At 38.4% G+C, this 24,519-nt stretch overlaps 1 long non-coding RNA gene and 1 pseudogene across 1 annotated transcript; one reads left to right on the top strand and one right to left on the bottom strand.

The window, feature by feature from the left end:
- On the bottom strand, positions 241-17,445 carry LINC00477 (long intergenic non-protein coding RNA 477). The gene is made up of 4 exons (NR_029451.2): positions 16,233-17,445; positions 4,811-4,934; positions 939-1,066; positions 241-485 (listed from the first exon to the last, which is right to left on the bottom strand). It is a non-coding gene; the product is annotated as a long intergenic non-protein coding RNA 477 (long non-coding RNA).
- Positions 16,398-18,377, top strand: KNOP1P1 (lysine rich nucleolar protein 1 pseudogene 1; annotated as a pseudogene).

Here is a 24,519-nt window from a genome sequence, read left to right on the forward strand (position 1 = left end):
TACCATATGCAGCTCTCAAAATATGGGGGAAATAAAAGCATATAACTGACCTCTGTATCATTTCCATCATCATATTCTAGTTGCCTCCCAAGGCAACAAGAAATATTATTGATAGGAGAGGGCTTTACACTGCCCACAGTATTCAAGATTCTCTAATAAGTTTTGAGTCCATCTCAATCCCTCCAACGTATTTGGAGATATTCATGGACTGCTAGGAGATATTAGGAGTATACAATGTTTGACCTTAGCCTATTTTCATAAGGCTCATTTTGAATTTATTCGGTCATATACATTAAAAATAGCAGAGACAAGTTACTTGGGAATCCTAAAGAAGAAAGAGGGATCTTAATAAGTATGAAATCCTGTGACGGCTGGGCGCGGTCGCTCATGGCTGTAATCCCAGCACTTTGGGAGGCTGAGGCGGGTGGATCCCGAGGTCAGGAGTTCGAGACCAGTTTGGCCAACACAGTGAAATCCCATCTCTACTAAAAATACAGAAAATTAGTTAGGTGTGGTGGCGGGCGCCTAAAATCCCAGCTACTCAGGAGGCTGAGGCAGGAGAATCGCGTGAACCAGGGAGGCGGATGTTGCAGTGAGCCGAGATCACACCATTGCACTCCAGCCCTGGCAATAGTGTGAGACTCGGTCTCAAAAAAAAAAAAAAAAAAAAAAAAAAAATCCTGTGACATAGGAGATAGAGGGAAATTTAGGTGATACAAGAGACCAAATATGTCATCTTAATGGTTATGAATTATCCATTTTTATATTTTTCTAAATTAGGGTAGTTTGTCAACCCTTACTCTGTTAGTAAGAGAGTAACATATAACGTTACGATGTCAATTTTAAGTTTAGCAGTTATGGGCCCAAACACTGATACCCTTCAAAGGAACCTTAAAATACTTTTTTATAAGAGTCCCCGATGAGACAGGTTTATTTACCTGTCTCGTCAAATGCAATGTCCATATCAAATTTTGAAAGTGAGCTTCTCAAAACCAGCCAGTGTTGAAAAAGTATTTTGAGATCTTCTTCTCTTGCTCCTTCTCTTCTAAAATATTTAAGGGATTATCTAAGGAAGGAGAAATAACTGACAATAATCTTCCTTGGGCATTCTTAATCCCCATAACATCTGAGATATAGACATCGAAACTATTAACTTTCCTGGGTCTACTGTACCTCTTCGGAAAAACTGAAAAAGGCACCCTATACCTAACAGATGCCACACATTAAGCTCTTACTGAAAAAAACAAAACAAAACAAAACAAAACTTTTAAAGCCCTATTACAGATACATATGTTTTCATTTAAAAACTACTATGAAATCGAGTGTTCTTTTATTTAAACATCCCCCTGTGGTTCTACAAATTAAGGATCGGTAGTACTATATTAACAACGGAGAGCCAAAACCAACTGAACTGGTGAAAAACAGTTGGTAAAACTGCCAACACTGGTTTTGTTGCCGACGTTGACTGAAATGGGAGGCAGCATATATACTAAAGAATGAATTCTAGTTTTTAAAACTTTCCGATTTTTGTATGCATTTAGAAGAAACTCCTCTTTAGCCACAGTTTTGAAAAGTGGAAATAATGTATAAAACCCAGATACTTTGCACAACCAAAACCACAGTCACATTGCTCTTATTATAAGTGAAAAGTGTTTATTACTCTGATTGTTAAATTTTTTCCTTCCTGGGAGAAAAACCAGACGGAAAAACAAAATTGGTTCTATTCAAGTGAAACAACACACAGTCGCCACATCTTGTCTCTTAATTTACTGGTTTTCAGTTCTACTTCTTTCCTTTAATTTAAAAAAATGAGTATATAATGTGGGGGAAGTAGTTTTACACGTGTACTTTTTTTCAATATGTGCATTTGTTTCAGACTTAGCTTACACAATATATTCTGTGTTCTCAGTTGCTATAAAATGTTATCATAAATATATAGAGGAGGTTTATATGCAATGAGATACCTTGATTTTATTTATAAAGAAAAGAGGAATGATTCATATGCTTCGCTGCTTCAAAACTGGTAACAGAACTAATTGTCAAGCAGGGAAATAATATTTTAAGCTTGGGTCCCAGTAGGGTTTAGGTATTTGGGTCTGTGAACTCATGATAACTCCTGTTTCTGTTACTTCTTTATAATTTTTGGTATCAAATATAATTTTGGTGGTACCAAATTTTTGCAACATGGTATCACCAATTGCATTATATGATATGTGAAATATGGTGAACAAATGAAAGCTCAAGAAAAGCACATAAAACAAAGAGGGTGTTTAAAAATATCACTTAAACAAATGTCCTTCTTATTTGAATCTCAGAAAATTATTTGAAGAGCAAATACATTTTTAGTCTCTAAGTATCTGGGACTTCTAACCCCTACTTTCTTATGATGCTCATCAAATTCAGAACTTCATTCATGGGTTGATTTTTTAAAAAAGAATAAATTAAGTGTTTCCATTCAGACTAAACTGTTTTGCACGCACAAAATGGCTACTATCCAGGTAGTTTTGCTCCAGGACAGAGTAATCAATTGGATCACTACTCCACTGACCAGATTTGGTCATGAACCACTTCTATTTCAGCCATCTCTTTGACCATGTGACAGGTCCAGTAAATTTTCAGCTATATTTAATATTTTTTACCTAAGCAAGTAAATGATCAAACTCTTATATAATAAAAAATATTTGAATCCTGCTGGCAGCTTCTGAATGCTGAGTGTTTACCTGGACATAGGGGCTAACAATGCACTTTTCTGCCTTCCTACGGCAGGAAATTATAACATAGAAAGCCTTGTAAATTTTCCAATCCAAAAAAAAAAAAAACTGAAGGAAATAGTGACAAGATTTATCCAAAACAAGATGAGGGGCAAGGGACATAAATGATAGGGACATAGACAATACCATAAATGAGTATGGTATTGTCTGTGGAAATAAAAATTGCTTTAAGTTGGTTATCCAATAATATACATAGCTGAAAGATCTAAGAATGTTGAATTGGCTTGAAAGAAAATGAGAAGAAATCCTCAAAGTAACATCTAATAAAGGCTATTTTTGCAAGGTCTAGGTCTACATGCACAAAACACAAGAGAATCTGGATTACACAGAAAAACAACAAAACTGACTAAACCATTGGAAATAGAACCAACAGGGAAGGAGGAGACAGATGAAGCGTGATTGAATGACTTCTCTGCAAATCGTTTGAGATAAAGGTATTAACCAGCTGTTCTCCAACTTCAAAGAGAATAGAACTAGACATAATGCAGAGCCTGGAATAGAAGGTAGAAGACCCGGAGATGAATTCCAGCTTATTGGAAATAAGAGTTATGGATCTTTGTTACAGTTTTAAATTAAAATAACTGTGAAAATGAGACAAAAGGATAAGAGATCAGGGGAATAAAATGGAGCCACAAAAGGTACATCCCACTTTAAAATTCTGTATCCTTATTAACATGATTTATAGAAGACCTAGTTGTGCCAGGGACTGTGCTAGATTTGAGCCACACATTTCACTTCAACCTCTCTAGCAGCCAAAAGGAAGAAAAAGTGTCCATTTCAATATTTACAATTGTTAGGGAGAAGCCCAATTATTCCTGAAACTAAGACCAAACCAGAACATTTTACTGGGGGCCTTCTCAAGGACACTGAGTAACATTAAGACAAACTTTCTATCAGTGAAAACAGTAAAGAGTTTCTGAGGACCATTTCTTAGATTCCTATAAGGAGAGACACTCCTCTATGGGTCTCGCCTGCTGCTGCAGGTCATGCCAGGTAGGCCAAGAATGCAATGACCTGACCACTCTTTACCCAGGCCGTTTCTCAGGGTTATGTTTGCAGTAATCAAACTTGGAGGGATAAGATAATGTCTCCCTCCAAAACAAAGAGTAGATGCTTGCTATAAAAGCATCAGATTCTCCAAGCTTGGCTATTCATCTGCCATGTGATCCCACCGTGTGTATAGCCTGTAATGCTTACCATTCCTTAGCATACCATGTTTCTCTTTCCCTGACAGCAACTCTGGGCCATTCTGTTCAGTCCATTCCTTGGGTGCAGCCCAATCAAAAGTGGGCCTAGGGGATTCAAGTTTTAATTCTGCTAGGATTATCTCTTGGGTTTAACAAGGTCATAGATCATAAGAACGATGACCACCTGGTTTAGTACACTGTTCACTGAGCTCCCCTACATGGCCCACATGGGTCAAAATGGGGAGCATAATGGGTCTCTGTAAGTTTTGTGAAAATTCATTGTCTCATGTGTACCTCTTCCTTCCAGACAAAAAACCTAAGTCTGGGTCAGAGGTGATTAGGGAAAAGGAAAGCTCTAACTGTTGGAGTGGACACATCAGTTTTGTGGCTGTGAAAGAAGAACAGCTCCCACACTTGGAGAGGGAATGGCCCAGACATAGAGAGAGAACACCTCAGACCAGGAAAGGTGCTAGGTGTGAGGTAGGAACAATTAATGCTCTCTTTGTCCCAGTACCACAGCCTTGCAAGTAATCACATGGTCTGCTTGAGGCAAAAAGCTAAAGCCGGCAATATGACACGCTGCTGGTTCATCATCCCCATCTCTATGCTATAAAATCAGAGAAGCTCATGAGGACCTGGCTGGCCCCAAACTGTTCATTCTGCCATCAAGACAAGCTTCAGGCCGGGTGTAATGGCTCATACCTGTAATCCCAGTGGCTTGGGAAGACAAGGTGGGAGAATTGCTTGAGCCCAAGAGATCAACACCAGCCTGGGCAATATAGGGAGACCCTGTCTCTACAAAACAACAACAAAAAAAGTTTTAATTAGGAGGATGTAGAGTCACATGCTTACAGTCTTAGCTACTGCAGGCCTTAGCTGAGGTGGCAGGATCCCTTGAGCCCAGGAGTTCGAGGCTGCAGTGAGCTATGACCATATCGCTGCACTCCAGCCTGGACAACAGAGTGAGACACTGCCTCTAAAAACAAAAGAAAAGAAAGAGAGAAGCTTCAAACATAGACTCCTCTTGAATATGTACAAACACACAGATTGACACAACCTTGTTTCATTCTGGCTGATAAAAACTCATCTGCTTCTCCTGGTGCCCTAGCATCCTTAGGTTATGCCATGTGTAACATCAAGGCTGCAACTAGTTGGTAACACTACTCAGGTGGCTTAAATGAAACAAGGTATTGGTGATCCAAATCAAATTTCACAACACATCCCTGACTGCTGTGACCTGTGTTTTTATGCAAGGGAAAGTGAGCCATGAATGTCTCTCCATTACAAATGAGGATTGTTTTATTGGTAATTCCCTGTAGTTATGGACAACAATACCAAAGATCATTTAAACTTCTGTGAGTAGTAATGGATAATTGACTGAATTTATACTACATCCTGGCTGTCTAACATAAGACATACTGGTCCCCCTAAGATTTACTCAGAGATGGTTGAAACTGGGACCCTCTGAGGCTTGGATGAGGTCTATAGAGACTTCTGGTTGGCCTCATACTACTGCTTAAAGTTTGGTTAATAGAACCCTTTAATAAGTGCTATACAAAACAAATTGAACAGATTTGTTCCCAACCTCTGTAGGTCAAGTTCATCAGAGTGACCAACAAAGTGGTATACTCATAAAAATTCACTGGAAGCTAATCCTGCACAGGATTGAGGGATGAATTGTTTTAAGAAATAGTCCTCCTATAGGCTTTTGCATCCCTGCTCACCTTGTTGGGCCTGCCAAAAATGCAATGCCCCAATTGCTCTTTACCCAGACCATTACTCAGATTGTTTGCAGGCAGCAACCTAGAGGGTAAGTAATGTCTCCCTCCCAGGCAAAAAGCAGACTTGCTTACTGCTTTCCATTCAAATGGTGGATTCTCCAAGCTCAATGTCTCCCCTGAGGAACCAATGCAAGCATAATGATGCTCATGCTGCTTGCTCTGCCATGGGCGATAGTCCTTTGTCTGACTCAGGAATCTCATATGTTCTGTGGCAACATCCATGAAACCATGGTAGGCAGACATATCAGCTTGTAACAGGAGGGTAAGATCAAGTCCCAGTCCCTTAAGAAATGTCATGCCAGAACACAGTCCTGCATCATCAATTACTAGGGTTCCCACCCTCCACCCCAAGTACTTCCTTTGTGTTGGTCCCAGGTACTTTGTAAGCCCCAGAAGTTGTAGTTATTTTTTGCTGTTGTTGTCATCTTATACAAAAGCCATCTGTGAATGATATTTTTAAGGAGTCCTGGAAGTAATTTTTTTTTTTTTACCCTTTCAGCTGGATTGTCTGGCTTACAAGAGAGGTACTACTAATTGCCTACCTAATATCTATTTTCCTCTTTTCATTAAGAGAGTCATGATTTTGTTTGGGTCAATAGTGTGTCCAGCTAACATCCTATGCTTCCAGGTCTCTCCCACAGCTGGAGGTGGCCAAGGGTCACAATTCTTGCCAATGAAAAAGTCTCTAAGTTGGGCTTCTATTAAAGCTCTTCAAAAGGCAAGCAGACTTAGCACATGCTTTTGCCCTTCCCCTTCTTCTTGCCTGAAACATGGGCATAATGTTAGAAGTTAGAGTAGCAATTTCACGGCTAGGAGTGACAAGTGCACGCTAAGGATGGCTCAGAAGGAATAAGGAAGTGACCTGGATTCTAGAAGTGATTAGAAAGTTTCCCAAGACCCATTGACTGCCTACCTCTGGACTTCTCATTTTGGGAGGCAAATAAAACCCTTATTTTTGGGCCAATATTTTGCTGTTTTCTGTTACCTGTAACTGAATGCAGTTATTAAGCTTTATAGATAGATACATATTTTTCTTTCAATATAGCATCTTCCTCATCTTCTGAAAATCTCTATTTTTTAGGGGAGTGGGTTTTCCCACTGCTTTAGTTGTATGGTCCTTTTCTTTCATGTTCTTCCTTGAAGATAGTGATTGGTTGAGGACTGAATATAAGATCTAAACTTGTCTCTTCAATAGTATGGTTCAATAGTATAGTTGCTCACCCCCCAGGGCAAGTGACTGGGAAAGAAGTGGACTCACAAAACAAACTGGCCAATCAGAGTCTTTACTGGTTTTTGTTTGTTTGCTTTTATCTGTAGCTAGGAGAAATAGCTTTTTCTTCCCTCAGGCCCCAAGCTGTGAGGATGTAAGCCCAGGAGCTGCTGTCAGCCATGAATCCAAGTTTATGGAGGCAACCAACCTAAAAGAATGAGTCAAACACACAGAAAGAGAGGGAGAAAAGTTCTGAGGGCATTTGAGCCCATTATTCCAGCTCAAGAGGTCATCTGAGCTGCCTTTCTATTGTTCCTTTTTTGGTTCTTCCCTTAATTTTGATCCACTCTAGTATCTTTCCAATAGATTTCATGAATTTTATTTGACTCCAGTTAGCTTAAGTTCAGTTTTTGCCATATGCTAAAGAATAGTAACTGATATAAAGGGGAAATGAAAAATGATATAAGAACACATAGAGAGAGTACCTAACTCAGACTTGGTGAGAGCAAGGAAGTTTTCTGGAAGAAATTCCATCCATGCTGTGAGATGAAGGATGAACAGGTGTGAGCCAAAGGAAGCAGAGAAAAGGTGAAAGGAAGGAGCACAACTCCGAAACCATGGACCCAAGTACCAGATGTGAACATCGTCTGCTCATTGGTGGAACTGAAAACAGGTTGATTTAGATTACGGAGGCATGAGGAGTGGCAAAGGGACAGGCAGGAGAGTAAGACTAGAAGATAAGTCCTATAGACATCTTTAAAGAAGTTTCTTTACCCTGCAAGTGTAAGCAGGGAAGGAAGGGATGAGATTTGTAATTTCTGAGGATCATTCTGGCTGCAATGTGGAGAATTGGTAGAGAGAAAAATTGAAGGTGTGGGACTGTAAAAAGGCTGCTGCAGTGACACACAGAGAAACGCAGATGGCCTGGAATATGGTGCTATGGCAGTCTCGGTCCTCCAAGAAGCAGATGCTAAGATGGAATTAGATATGCAAGAGATTTGTTGGGAGAAATGCCTGCGAGGGATGTGAGAACAGGTCTAGGCAGGCTGTGATGCAATGTGATACCTAGGAAAGGAGAGAGGGAAGGAAGCAGGATTGGATGGGAAGGGCTTTAGATGGCACTGTGGCTCTGAGAAAGTCTTGTCTGGCTTGGTCAGCATATTATCTGTTCTCACACTGCTACGAGGAACTAACTGAGACTGGATAATTTACAATGGGAAGAGGTTTAATTGACTCACAGTTCTGCAGGCTGTACAAAAAGCATGGCTGGGAGGCCTCAGGAAACTTATAATCATGGCAGAAGGAAAAAGGGAAGCAAGTACATTTTACTATAGCAGAGCAGGAGAAAGAGAGGGCGAAGGAAGAAGTGCTACACACTTTTAAACCATCAGATCTCGTGAGAACTCTCTCACTATCACGAGAACAGCAAAGGGGAAATCCGTCCCCATGATCCAATCACCTCTCACCAGGTCCCTCCCCCAATATTAGGAATTACAATTCAACATGAGATTTGGGTGGGGACACAGAGCCAAACATATCAGTTGGGATTCGAGTATCCTGAATAAAGATTGTTCATAGAAAAGTTCTGTGTTGGGAGTAGAAGGGCTAGCTCTAGTAGCCCCACCATGCTCAGTTATTGTTTGAAAGCAATCCAGAGAGACCAGAGTCTCGGCAGGAATGCATGGTAGATCAGCAGTTTCTACTGCTGGAGGTGATCAGCCAACTATACTCTTTAAAGCAGGTTCTCCCATAACTGCCACACTTGAGGACACAGAAGGTGAGAAAAACAGACCAAATTAAGAGAAATTTAGCCATTCAGTGATCAGAACTTGGTTGAATGAACAAGAGGTTTTTATATGAACAACTGAAATTATTCATAAAGATTTTTGAGCAAGAGTTTTATAGTCCTCTTGGCTAAGTAATTACAGCAAGCTCCCTGAAGATCAGCATAAAGATCATTTAATAGACACTACCCTTAAGTTTATTCATACCCATATCTGGAACTGATGTTGCAAGGAGAAAAATTTTGGAGCACCTACTGTTTGCTGGTTATCATTCTAGGGGCTACGGATTCAGTGATACAAAAAAAGAAAAAAAAAAGAGATCAAGTACATGCTCCAAGAAATCAGGAATTCTAGAGGAGAAAGACAGATGCAAAGGAAGTCAGTAATAACATCCAGAAAGATCAGACCAGCCTGGGCAACACAGCAAGATCTCATCTCTGGAAAAAAAAAAATTATAAAAAGGTAGCCAGATGTGGTGGCTACTCCCAAGTTACTTGGGAAGCTGGGGCAAGAAGATCACTTGAGCCCAGGAGATTAAGGCTGCAGTGAGCTATGATCACGCCACTGCACTCCAGCCTGGGCAACAGAGCGAGACTCTGTCAAAAAAAAAATAAATAAGATCAGAGAGTGGTAAGTGCTATAAAGAAAATAAAAGAAACTACAATGATCATGATCAACTAACTAGGGAGGTGGGGGAATTACTTTGAACCAGGAATTAATTTTATTTAGAAAAGACCTTCCTTAATGGTGACTAATGTCATTTTTCTGTCCTACTTCAGAATCAGTTCTATGCCTTCTGGAGTACCCTACATTTAGCAATTTCTTTGCACCCCTAGTACCAAAAATTAGGAGCAAACTTGATGTCTTCTTTGGAATGACAATCCTAGAAACACGGAATGCAAAATCTTCTGTACATCTCACCAGGAGACATCAGACCCTTATGTAAAAACCATTCCTAGAAGACTGCTTTGATACCCACAGTTCTAGAAGAGCATGTGCATTTGGCTATTCAGGATCTAGCAACAGCTGCTTGCCCTTCCCTGCTCACTCATTGTTATAAAGATCAAATGAGGTGATGGCTACAAAAGTACTTCATAACCTTAAAAGGTAATTACATCAAGTGCTATTGGATTATAAAAACAATTGGTCCAAATTAAAGATGCTATACACTCATAGAAATAACCAAGAGGTTATAGAATTCCATTGTTGGATGTATTAAATAAAAGCCTAGAAAACCATCATTCTTGGATAGACTATTAGATTGGAATATACTAGGTAGACAAACCTTTGCTGTCCCACTAACAGCATAAAAGCATTGAACAACAAAACATTTACATGTTTATGAAAATTTACCATAATTTCAAGAGAAAGGAAATGATATTATAAAAAGTAAAATAGACTCATGGAATTGAATGTAATAAAAAAATGAAAGAAATTATGACACAGAAACTGGATCTCTTCTGTCTTCTACATGTAAATGCAAAAAACCTGCCTATTGGAAGTTCATGTAAAGACTTTTTAAGATTCAGTCATCCTTTAAAGTTGAATTTCTTTAAATGTGCCCGGTTTGCACTGGTGTTCATCATCATTCAACTCCACAGTTTTCAGGAGAGAATGCTCCCCTAAGGCCACTGTCAGAACTTCCAGCCTTGGCCCCTGCTGTAAATGGAGTTTTAGAAATGAGCTTATGGTTATATAGTTTTGAATCATGCAAAATCTTTTTTGAAGCTGCTCACCCCATCTTCCTTCTACCACCAATACCCCAATATAATACAATACTAGCAAAATTGAGAATGAGAGGGTTACTTCTTAAGAAAATAAAATTAAAATACACCAGTTGAAATCTTAAAATACGACATTTCTATCATAATTGAAGACTAAAAAGCTTCTTTTTGTAAATTTCAAAATTTTGCAAAAGACTAGCAAACTAGAATATTTAGTGCCTTTCTCCAGGGGCCACTTTCATGTTGAATTGATCTGAAGCAATTGTCTATGCTGTATTATGCGCTGGCATGTAGGAGGAGAAAGGAAACTTCAGAGGAACTAATTCAGTGAACTGTGGCCCTGGCACACAATTAGGATGATGGCACTTTGTCTGACCAAGTTTCAATGTGGTCAAGTCCACAGCTCCCACAGCTCAGCCTCCAGCTGCAGGTCAAAGTGAAGAAAATTCTAAAACAAACAATCCAGAAGTAAGAAGTGAATTTTTTAAAAGAATTTTTAAGTTTATTTTTTCTATTTGGAGAGTGAGATTGACAATAAAAGTGTTAATAAGAAATTAACATGTATTGAGAACATTTTTTTTGTGCCAGGTATTTATGGTGCTAAGCTTTTATATACATTATCTCATTTAATCTCCATTATAATCCTAAAAGACAAGTACTATTAATACTGTATATTACCAATGAGGAAACTGGGGCACGAAGAGGATAAGTAACTTTCCCAAGGTCACACAGCTCATATCTGCCTCACAGAAACGCCAGGAAAGATAAAACAACAAATCTCAGTGGTATACATTGATATTCAAGAAAATGGGACCAGATACGTGAAGAAAATTTAAATGATTATTGTACATTTTAAAGGATTTTTACATTTGTTATTATAAATAAGCAGAAAATTAGATTATGAATAAATTATTAAAAATAACTCAAGATAGGTTTCTGGTTTCAGCTCTAACATATAAAGCTTAGAAGTCATCATTCCAAAATTCAGTGACTTTTCTGGGACCCATCAGAAAACAGGTCTCAGGGCAAACCATTACTCTAAAATCTGGAGAGACAGGCACATCCAGAGAAACACAGTCAAGATCTGCTTACCTGAATCAGAAGATTAAGGTAAGCCAAACATTTGCAGAAACATTTAAATGGTAATTTTGATGACCTGCTGGAGGCTGTGTGTGAATTAGTTTGAGAGTTAGAAATGTTCTATCTTAAACAGCACCCGCCCAACTTTGGACTAGTATGAGAGTTAGAAATGTTCTATCTTAAACAGCACCCACCCAACTTTGGTGGACCAGGAACCCCACCAGGTTCTCACTGATGAAGATCCATATTCTCCTAGCTCTGGCAAGGTAGTAGATAGGTAATCACTGTGAAATAGCACACTCAGAGCCTTTTCCATAACAAAAGTCTATTCTACCAGAGCCTTATTCCTGTTGGGAGAAGGACATTTCTCCCACTCCAGTCCCCTCTAGCCTTGTGGTCTCACCTATATCACCTAAGAGGGAGAAAACATAGTAGGGCTTCAAGGAAACAGATGGGGAGTCCTGCAGCCAGGAAAAGGAGTAGGGAGCTAGGGGACAGGGGACGAGAGAGGGAAACTATGCCACAGGAGAAATGCTCGTGAAGGTCTCAGCCCCAAGACACAGGCCCACTAAAAAACTGAGATTTCATCAGATTATAGAATGTTCTCCCCTCACCCACACTTTATCACCACCATAATAGGGTGTCAGTATAATAACAGTGGATTATAGCTAAAGAATTGCAAGACAGAGATATTTCTCTGGGAAGGAGTATTTAGGGAAGCCCAAAGTCAAGAGAGACAAAAGCAAGAATGCTAGAAGAATTTGAAGCCTCTGCCACGTATAGCTACATCAAACACAAACCCAGCCTGACTCCTAGCTATATTAATATGAACACTCATGGTAAAGCCCTATTTATCTCAGTTCCTAATATCCAGTACAACCTGCCCAGCTCTCAATAAAAAAATTACAAGGCATGCCAAAAGGCAAGACAAACTCAGTCCGAAGAGAAAAAGCAATCATTAGAATTAGACTCTGATATTAGAGATTGAAATTATCAGATGGAAATTAAAATAGCCATGATTAATATGCTAAGGGCTCTAATAGAAAAGAAGACAACATAAAATAACAGATGGGTAATGAAAGAGAAAAGTGGAAACTATAAGAAAGAATCAAAAGGAAATGTTAACAGTTAAATGCACTGGAACAGAAATGAAGAATGGCTTTGATGAGTTCATCAGTGATTGGATGTGACTGAACAGAGAAATAGTGAACATAGGTCAATAGAAACTTCCCAAACTGAAATGCAAAGAGGAAAAAAAAAAGCATGAAAAAACAGAACAGAACATCCAAGAACTGTGAGATCATTTCAAAGATGTAACATATGCATCACTGGAATACCAGAAGGAGAAGAAAGTAAGAACAGGCAGAAGAAATAGTTGAAGTAATATTGGCCACAAATTTTCCAAAGTTAATGACAGACACTGTATGGGCTTGAAGACTGCACCACCTCAATTAATTTCCACTCAGAACCCTAGAATGTGACCTTATTTGAAAACAAGGTCTTTGTGGATTTAATTAATTAAGAGGAAGTCATACTGGATTTGGGTGGGCCCTAAATCCAATGAATGCTGTCCTTATAAGCATTCATACACACAAAGGAAAGATGGCCATGTGAAGATAGAGGCAGAAATTGGAATGATGCAGCTACCAGCAAGGAATGCCAAGGATGACCAGCAACCAAATGCTGGAAGAGGCAAAAAAGGATTCTTTCCCTAGAGAAGTTTCAGATGGAGCATGGGCCTGCTAACAGCTGCATTTCAGACTTTTAGCCTCCAGAACTGTGAAGGAATACATTTCTGTTGTTATCAATGGCTCATTTTGTGGTAAGTAATTTGTTATGGCAGCCCTAGAAAATTAATACAGTTACCAAACTACAAATTCAGGAAGCACAGATAACACCATGCTGAATAAAGACTTTTAAAAACCCATATCTAGGCATACCATATTCAAACTGCAGAAAACCAAAGTCACAGAGATAATCTTTTAGAAGAAGCCAGATGACAGGAAATAAGCCAGAAAAGCAAAGGTAAGAATTACAGTGGAGTGAAGTAAAAAATTTAAAGCATTGCAAGAATAAATTCCACCATCCTGGAATTCTATACCCAGCAAACTTTGTCCTTCAAAACTGAAAGAAGAAAGACTTTCTAAGACAAACAAAAACTGAAGATATTCATTCCTAGCAGATCTGACCTACAAAAAATATTGAAAGAAATTCTTCAAGCAGAAGGAAAATGAGAGAAGTCAGAAACTTGAGTCTACTATATAAAGAAAGGAAGAGAATTAGAGAAGTAATAAAGGAAAGTAAAATAAAGTTTTTTAATTATCAAGTGGTCTAAAAAATAATAGTTTGTATAAAGAAATAATAGTATGTTATTAATGTTTTGGGTGATTAGAGCAAATGGTTAAATTAAATGAACGACAACAATGTCACAAGGGAGAGAAAGGAAGAACTGGGAATACTCTTCTAAGGGAAACTTCACTACATTTGAAGTGCAATAGCATTATTTGAAGGCAGACATAGATTATTTTAAAACTTATATCTTACAAGGAAATAAAAGAGGATACAAACAAATGGAAGAAAATTCCATGCTCATGGGTAGGAAGAATCAATATCGTGAAAATGGCCATACTGCCCAAGGTAATTTACAGATTCAATGCCATCCCCATCAAGCTACCAATGACTTTCTTCACAGAATTGGAAAAAACTACTTTAAAGTTCATATGGAACCAAAAAAGAGCCCGCATCGCCAAGTCAATCCTAAGCCAAAAGAACAAAGCTGGAGGCATCACACTACCTGACTTTGAACTATACTACTAGGCTACAGTAACCAAAACAGCGTGGTACTGGTACCAAAACAGAGATACAGATCAATGGAACAGAACAGAGCCCTCAGAAATAACGCCACTTATCTACAACTATCTGATCTTTGACAAACCTGAGAAAAACAAGCATTGGGGAAAGGATTCCCTATTTAATAAATGGTGCTGGGAAAACTGGCTAGCCATATGTAGAAAGCTGAAACTGGATCCCTTCCTTACACCTTATACAAAAATCAATTCAAGATGGATTAAAGACTTAAACATTAGACCTAAAACCATAAAAACCCTAGAAGAAAACCTAGGCATTACCATTCAGGACATAGGCATGGGCAAGGACTTCATGTCTAAAACACCAAAAGCAATGGCAATAAAATCCAAAATCGACAAACGGGATCTAATTAAACTAAAGAGCTTCTGCACAGCAAAAGAAACTATCATCAGAGTGAACAGGCAACCTACAAAATGGGAGAAAATTTTCGCAACCTACTCATCTGACAAAGGGCTAATATCCAGAATCTACAATGAACTCAAACAAATGTACAAGAAAAAAACATACAACCCCATCAAAAAGTGGGCAAAGGACATGAACAGACACTTCTCAAAAGAAGACATTTATGCAGCCAAAAAACACATGAAAAAATGCTCACCATCACTGGCCATCAGAGAAATGCAAATCAAAACCACAATGAGATACCATCTCACACCAGTTAGAATGGCAATCATTAAAAAGTCAGGAAACAACAGGTGCTGGAGAGGATGTGGAGAAATAGGAACACTTTTACACTGTTGGTGGGACTGTAAACTAGTTCAACCATTGTGGAAGTCAGTGTGGCGATTCCTCAGGGATCTAGAATTAGAAATACCATTTGACCCAGCCATCCCATTACTGGGTATATACCCAAAGGACTATAAATCATGCTGCTAAAAAGACACATGCACACGTATGTTTATTGCGGCACTATTCACAATAGCAAAGACTTAGAACCAACCCAAATGTTCAACAGTGATAGACTGGATTAAGAAAATGTGGCACATATACACCATGGAATACTATGCAGCCATAAAAAATGATGAGTTCATGTCCTTTGTAGGGACATGGATGAAATTGGAAATCATCATTCTCAGTAAACTATCGCAAGAACAAAAAACGAAACACCGCATATTCTCACTCATAGGTGGGAATTGGACAATGAGAACACATGGACACAGGAAGGGGAACATCACACTCTGGGGACTGTTGTGGGGTGGGGGGAAGGGGGAGGGATAGCATTGGGAGATATATCTAATGCTAGATGATGAGTTAGTGGGTGCAGTGCACCAGCATGGCACATGTATACATATGTAACTAACTTGCACATTGTGAACATGTACCCTAAAACTTAAAGTATAATAATAATAAAGAAAAAAAAAAGAAAAAAAAACTTATATCTTAAAATCTAGGGAAAACCACAATTTTAAAAAAACAGTATGATTTATACATGAAGAGAGAAGATGAAATGAAATCATATAAAATGCTCAGTTAAACCAGTAAATGCAGGAAAAGAAGGGGCAAAAAAAAAAAAATTAACAAATTCAATAAAGAGAAAATAGTTACAGATATAGTAGCTATTAATCCAATTACAGTTGACCTTTGAACAATGTGGGGGTTAGGGGTGCTGTCCCTGCATGCAGTTGAAAATTTGTGTATGACTTTTGACTACGCAAAAACTTAACTACTAATAGCCTACTGTTGACTGGAATTCTTAACAATAACATAAACAGTCTATTAACACATATTTTGTATTAAATATATTATATATTGGATTCTTACAATAAGGTAAACTAAAGAAAAGAAAATATTATTAAGAAAATCTTAAGGAAGAAAAGATATATTTACCAATCATTAGATGGAAGTGGATCATCGTAAAGGTCGTCATCCTCATCATCTTCATGTTGAGTAGGCCAAGGAGGAGGAGGAAAATAAGGTATCAGTCTTGCTGTCTCAGGAGTGGCAGAAGTGGAAGAAAATTTGTGTGTAAGAGAAGCCACGCGTGCAACCCGAAAGTGGACTTCCGGGTCACGGCGGAGCCGGCTCTCACGTGGAGGCGGGGAAGTTTGGCCCACCGGAAAGTAGACCTGGGCCCTGGGATCCCAGAGAAGAAAAAGAAGAAGAAAGTGGTCAAAGAACCAGGGACTCAATACTCAATTTTAAACAATGATGATTACTTTGCCCATGTTTCTCCTATAAAAGCCACAGCCCCCTCTAAGAGTGTGGTCCACGGGCAGGCACCTGAGATGCCTCTAGTGAAGAAAAAGAAGAAAGAGAAGGGTGTCAGCACCCTTTGCGAGGGGCACGTAGAACCTGAGACCACGCTGCGTGCCAGACGGACAGAGAAGTCATCCAGCCCAAGGAACCAGGTGCTTGGCCATTTGGAGTTCCTCAGTGGGCAGAAGAAAAGGAAGTCATCTCTGGCCATCTCCCATGCCTCTGGGGTGAAAATCTCCCCAGACCCCAGACAGGGTGAGGAGGAAACCAGAGTTGGCAAGAAGCTTAAAAAACTTAAGAAGGAAAAAAAGGGGGCCCAGGACCCCACAGCTTTCTCAGTCCAGGACCCTTGGTTCTGCGAGGTCGGGGATGCTGTGGACACTTGCTCAGTGGGGAAGGAGGGTGAGGAACAGGTAGCCTTGGGGCAGAAGCGGAAGCACAAGAGCCCCAGGGAACACGGTGGGAAGGCGAAGAAGAAAAAAAAATCCACCAGGAGGGAGACGCCCTCCCAAGCCACTCCAAGCCCTCCAGGTCCATGGAGAGCTGCCCTAGGAAACGAAGTAAAAAGAAGCCAGTCAAAGTGGAGGCTCCGGAATACATCCCCATAGGAGATGGCCCTAAAACCCCCGCGAAGAAAAAGATGAAGTCCAAGAAGAAGGTAAAGCAGCCAGTCATTGAGGAGCCGGCTCTGCAAAGGAAGAAAAAGAAAAGGAAAGAGAGTGGGGTAGCAGGAGACCCTTGAAAGGAGGAAACAGACACGGACTTGGAGGTGGTGTTGGAAAAGAAAGGCAACATGGACTAGGCGCACATAGACCAGGGGCGAAAGGCCTTGCAAGAAGAGACTGATCGCCAGTCAGGCAAAACGGAAGCTTCTGAAACCAGGAAGTGGACGGGAAGCCAGTTTGGCCAGTGGGATACTGCTGGTTTTGAGAACGAGGAACAGAAACTGAAATTTCTCAAACTTACGGGTGGCTTCAAAAACTTGTCCCCTTCGATTAGCCCCCACCCCCACCCCCACCCTCCCGCCCCACCCAGCCCGATTGCAAGGTCCAACGTGGCCCTCAGTAAGAAGGTGGCCGACAGTCTGCAGCAGAGCCTGCAGCGGGAATATGGCCTGGCCATGAGCTGAAAGTACAGCCGCGGAGCCGGCCTCGGCTTCTCCACCGCCCCGAACAAGATCTTTTATATTGACAGGAATGCTTCCAAGTCAGTCAAGCTGGAAGATTAAACTCTAAAGTTTCGTCTCCCCAAAACTGCCACAATTATCCCATTTATGCTGGAGGTTGCAAATTATTTTGTGTGAAAAGTCAGATCTTGGTAATGACCTTGAACAGTAGGATATAAATAACTCCCATAAGCTTAGCGTTCCAATAATGGAACACTAGGCATAAATGGGTTATTCAATTGTGAAGATGAATGCCATCTGACAGTTGGCTCACATTGAACACCTGTGGAGATTAAGGACAAGGACAACTATCTTGATGGGCTTGGACAAACTGGGGCGGGGCAGCTCATGTTTCCGGAGCCAGGAGAACAAGTGAGTGGCTAAAACCTCCTGTTTTCTGTTAAACATTCCGTCCCTGTCTGAGATATCAATATGTACAGATAACCTTTGTTGAGTGTTTACCAGGTGCTAGGCACATACTAGTGTTTTCCTTAATGTATTTAATCTTCATAATTATGAAATGGGTGCTATTATTATCCCCATCTTATAGATGAGGCAACTGAAGTTCAGGGATAAAGTAATAAAATTGCCTGGGGTCACCCAAACACTAAAAAAAAAAAAAAAGAGAAGCCACGCAGTTCAAACCTGTATTGTTCAAATGTCAACTGTGTATCAATAATTCCTTAAATGTGAATCGTCTAAATACACCAATAAAAGACACTATTGTCATAGTGGATAATGACAAGATACAACTATATGTTATCTACAAGAAACCCACTTTAAACTTAAACACTCAGGTTAAGAGTAAAGGGATAGAAAAAGATATATCATGCTAAAAGTAATCAAAAGAAAGCTGGAGTAGCTAAATGAATTTCAGACAAAGCCAACTACAGAATGAGCAACATTATCAGGAATAAAAAGGGGTACCACATAAGGATAAAGGGAACAATTCTCCAAGAAGACAACAATCGTAAACATGGAAGCATTACCAAGAGTGTCAAAATACATGAAAGAAGACTAATAAAAATGAAAAGAGAACTAGACAAATCCATTGTTAGAGGCGGGACTTCACCATCCCTGTGTCAATGTTATGGGTGGAGACTTCACCATCCCTTTGATAGAGCCAGTGGGCAAAAAAATCAAGGCTATAGATGACCTGAGCAGTATTATCAATCACCTTGATCTAATGACATCTATAGATTACTCCATTCAACAGCAGAATATACATTCATCTCAAGCTTCTGAGGAACATTTACCAAGACAGACCACATTTTCACCATAAAACACCCTCAACAAATTTAAGAACACGAAAATTATACAAAGTATGTTCTCCAACCACGGTTTAATTAAAGTAGAAATCAATAGGAAAGATGTCTAGAAAATTCACAAATATTTGGAAATATAAATATTAAAAAGCATAATTCTAAATAATCCATGGGCCAAAGAAGAAGTTTCAAGAGAAATTTAAAAACATTTCAAACTAAATGAGAATAAAATTATAATTTACTAAAATTTGTGGGGTGTAGCAAAGAAATGTTTGGAAGAAAATGTATAGCATTAAATGCGTATGTTGTAAAAGAAAAATATCTAAAATGTGATACTTCAGCTTACCTTAGAAAATTAGAGAGGAGAAACTTAAGCCTAAAACAAGCAAAAAAGTTAATATTTCATCAGAAATAAAGTTAACAGAAAAAAAAAATAACAAATAAATACTATTAAAAAACTATATGCCAATAGATTGGATAACTTAGATGAAATGAACCATTTTTTCATGGAAAACACAGACTACCAAAACACATACCAGGAGATATAGATAGCCTGAATAGCCTTAGAGCCAGTAAAGAAATTGGATCAATAATTATTAATCTTTTAAAAAAGAAAGCAGGAGGCCCAGATGGTTTCATTGGTGAATTCTACCAAACATTGAAGGAAGAAAGAACACCAGTTCTCCACAATCTCCTTTAGAAGCAGAGGGAATACTTCCTAACTCATTCCATGAGGCGTCGCCCTAATACTAAAACCAGATGGAGACATTACAAGAAAAGAAAGTGACAGACCACTTTCTCTTATGAACAAAGACAGACAAAAAATCCTCAACAAAATATTAGAAAATCAAATCCAACAATGTATAAAAAGAATTATATCCCATGTCCAGGTAGGATTTATTCTAATTACACAAAGCTAATTTAACATTCAAAACTCTATCAATGTAATCTGTCACATTAACAGGCTGAAAAAATATCATATGATCATATCAACTAATATAGAAATATATTCTACAGAACCCATAGTTAAAACAGAGCATAATGTGGAAAATACCTTACAAGTTTTAAAATCATAATTTAGTTTTAGGCCTCTTAATCAAAAGTGGATGGTGAATTTATTTTCAGTTATCACAAGAGCTTTACAACTGACTTTTGAAATTAACATAGTCTACATATCTAAATACATGCTAAAATGTTAATTTCGTCTGTTTTTATTATTATAAAATTGTGTCTTGTGTGTTTTCTAATATTTGGAGGTATATAACCTCTTTCAGAATCTGATAAAAGCTATGGACCAAAAAAGGTAAACACACAAAGAATGTGCTCATATTATTTCAGAGTTCTGATTTAATTTTACTCTTTTACAACAATTTAGATCAGTGGTCACATCCCTTATTATTGTATCCCATTTTGCTTTAGGACAAAAATCACAATATCTTACTATTGTGTTGAGACTCTGATTTTTTAAGGAATCAGTCCTTCAAAAAATGTAAGAATTTTACATTTAATTTATGATTTTACTCCATAGCTTAATCAAGGTTAAAATGCAAGAAAGGAAATTGAGAAGAAAAAAACCCTGTAATAACTAAAAAGATTAGCTAAATTATATGTTCATCTAAAGGAGCAAATATTATAAAGTCCTGGTCTTAAATTCATGCATATATTCATTCATTCATTCTGCTAATGCTATGACTAATACTAAACCACTTTGGGCTTGCTTTGGTTTAGGCACATGTACTTCTTCTGTACCTGGATACTACTAATGTCTCCTCAAAACCTCATTATTTATGCTTATTTTGGGTATGTGAGTCAAGAATTGAAACTTATTTGTAAAGAGGAAAGAAAATTGTTTTGATCAATTATCAGAGATTCTAACAAATAAACTACCGAGAAGTTGTTGAGGGGGATTCTCTGTATTACCTTAATTAGTAGTAACTTAATTATTTCAGTGAGGATAAAGCAAAGGGGCACGTAACGTAGCCCAGGGAACTGTCTGCTGAGCTCAGATTTGAAGGAGATAAGCACACTTCACAAAAAGAGGAGATAAGAATGAATACCAAAGAATGACATGAATATGTGAAAACACTGTCCAAAAATATAAAAGTCCAGAATAAGTAGAGATTATTGGCAAAGGAAAAAACCTTGAAGCCAACCAAATAAGATTTTTAGCTACTTAGCAGAAAAATAAAAAGGAAGAATTAGGTCTCTTGTTTAAGATAATTTACATAATTTTTACAGAAGAGAGGGTGGTAGGCCAATGACATCATTCCTATACTGTTTCTATCTTTCTATTAAGAATAGTCTTACAGGCCGGGTGCTGTGGCTCACGCCCATAATCCCAGCATTTTGGGAGGCCGAGGCTGGTGAATCACAAGGTCAGGAGATCGAGACCATCCTGGCTAACACGGTGAAACCCTGTCTCTACTAAAAATACAAAAAATTAGCTGGACGTGGTGGCAGGTGCTTGTAGTCCCAGCTACTCAGGAGGCTGAAGCAGAGGAATGGCATGAACCCGGGAGGCAGAGCTTGCAGTGAGCTGAGATTGTGGCACTGCACTCCAACCTGGGCAACAGATAGAGACTCCGTCTCAAAAAACAAACAAACAAAAAAAATAGTCTTACAAAGCTGGAAAGTGTAGAGTAAACGTGGCCAAAAGGCAGTTGAAGTCCGAAATATGCAGAAATAACAAGAGATTACCTATTGCACTAAAATAATCCAGACCTTCCCATTCAGATAAATCACATCCCAGGGTACTGTAATAACTTATGGATGACCTACTAAATTATAGTTACCCCATGGTGGTTCCAGGACTCTGTCCCCCAAAAGTACCAAAATTCATGGACGCTCAAGTTCCTTATATAAAATGGCTTGGTATTTACAAATGGCCTACACACATCCTCCCATATACTTTAAATCATCTCTACATTATTTATAATACCTAACACAATATAATGCTATGTAAATAGTTGTTATTCTGTATTTTTAGAGAATAATAACAAGAAAAAAGTTTTCATACATGTTCAGTACAGATGCAACCATCCATTTATTTTTCTGAATATTTAGGATGGTTGAATCCACCGATGTAAAACCCATGGATAAGGAGGACAGACTGTCGCATTAGTAATCTCCAGAAATCATGATGATCTATATGTGCCTATCTGTAAAGATCTCTAATGCATGTCTTCAAGTGAAATAGGACTGAAGATGGATTGTATGATCTCATGTATGTAAAAAAGTAATAATATACATATATATTAATCTATATTTATTTAAAAATAACTAGAAGGATTATATCAGTATTCACCACTGGTGTTATTCAAAATATAAAAACGAGTCTGGGCATAGTGGCTCACACCTGTAATTCCAGCATTTTTGGAGGCCAAGGCAGGCAGATTGCTTGAGCTCAAGAGTTCAAGACCAGCCTGGGAAATACAATGAAATCCTGTTTCTACAAAAAGTACAAAAACTAGCTGAGTGTGGTGGTGCACGCCTGTGGTCCCAGCTACTTGGGAGACTGAGGTGGGAGGATTGGTTCAGCCCGGAAGGTGAAGGCTGTAGGGAGCCGAGATCACACCATTGCACTTCAGCCTGGGTGACAGAGCAAGACCTTGTCTGAAAAAAAATTATATATAATGTATGTATATATATATATTTATATAATATATAAATGAAAGGTAAATATGTATAAAAATGAAAGCAAAAACAATAATGAGGCATCTGTGTAACAGAAAAGCATGGAGAATGATAAAATGGAGGTAAGAGGAAATGCTCAATTAGACAAATAGTAAAGTCCCTTTCCCTTTGAAGATTATGTACACACACACATACCCCTATGTATAAGCAGGATGCAGTGCAAAATTAAAAAGTTTGCTCCATGTTCAAAAATTACTAAGAATTTTAATCCTGATACAGCATAGAATTAAACCAAGAGTGGGGTCCTGCTATGCATGTGGCCCTGTGCAACTGCACAGGTTGCATATCCATGATATGCTTAATATCCCAAATCCCTGCATATATACACATACACATACATGAATACACATAGTTATATACACATGTATGCAAAGGTGTTCAGTATATATTACCTTCTTCTCTAAAGGTATAATCTTTGCATATATATATACACAAATGTATACCTATATATATTTCTTGTGTGCAAAGACTATCTTTAGAGAAGAAGGTAATGTATATCATACATCTGGAGGTCCATTTTTGAATGCTATTGCCCTGTGATCCAAATATTTTGTACTCATTGCTTCCCCCACTAGCCTGGATGCATCATCCCTCCCTGTCTTCTTATCCAGAACGTCTCTTCCGATTGCCCATAACTCATATTTTCAGAGTCGTAGCTCCCCCTTGTAGTACTGTTTATATTTTAATAGCAAACATCAGAAGCAATGATAAAAAACACTCTAAGTTAATTAATGGGGTGCAAATTATATGTGAGGAGTTTGTCATAAGATTGAAATCAAGACCTATGTATTTACCTCTTCTCTTCTACATTTTCCCAAGGTAACATTACTACTGACGAGAAATAAACATTTTCTAGGTACTTATTACGCTATAACTGCACTCCCGTCTTAGCTGGCAGAGTGTGAATAAATTCTAAGCCTTCTTCATAGCTTCTGTATCACGCTGAGGGATGACAAATAAATTAATTAATTAATGCCAAGCTCTGTACCGCTAGGGAATTTTGAAAGAAGACCCATTGCAGACTGTCCAGATGAAACATAAGCTTTTATAACAAATGAGTTCCAACTGCCTGGATTGGAAGGTACCTAAATCTTAAAATGAAGCAAAGCATCATCTATTAAATAATTACTCTGTGTTAATCACTATACATGCATGTTTTCAGTTAATCTTCCTAATAATCCTGAATTAATTTCTATTAATATTTTTATTTTATAGAAGATGAAACTGAGGAAAAAAGCCGTTACATATTTTGTCAGTTTCACATAGACTAAATTTTGGATCCAATTTGTTTGACTTGAGAAAATGTAAATTTACTGACCAGATTATACTGTTTCCTGGGCCTTAAATATTATCTAATACCTTTATCGTTTTGAGGAATCCCTTAACACCTAACCCAGTGGTTTTCCAAGCCTGTCCTTGAATTTCTACTATTGGGGAATGAACTCCTGTAAACTAATTCTAAGTTCAGACAGACAGTATTTCTTTATATTGAGCCAATATCTATTTCCTTGTAACATCAATTTATTAGCTCTAGCTTTACCATTCATGAGAACATGTCTGATTTCTTTTCCATTTAATAGCCCTTCAGATATTTGATGAATAAATTGAGCTAACTCTCATTGCCTATGACCCTTCTCTTCTATAGGTAATATTTCAGGTACAACTCATGGGGAATCGTTTTGAATTTCCTTACTCAAGGATTATTCCCTTTCAAATGTAGTCTAGTTTCTCAATGTTTCCCAGATCCTCAGAACTGAATGTAACACACCAGAATTGTTCCAGCCAGCTCTGGGAG

This window comes from Homo sapiens, chromosome 12, assembly GCF_000001405.40.
Source record: "Homo sapiens chromosome 12, GRCh38.p14 Primary Assembly".
NCBI classification, from domain to species: domain Eukaryota; kingdom Metazoa; phylum Chordata; class Mammalia; order Primates; family Hominidae; genus Homo; species Homo sapiens.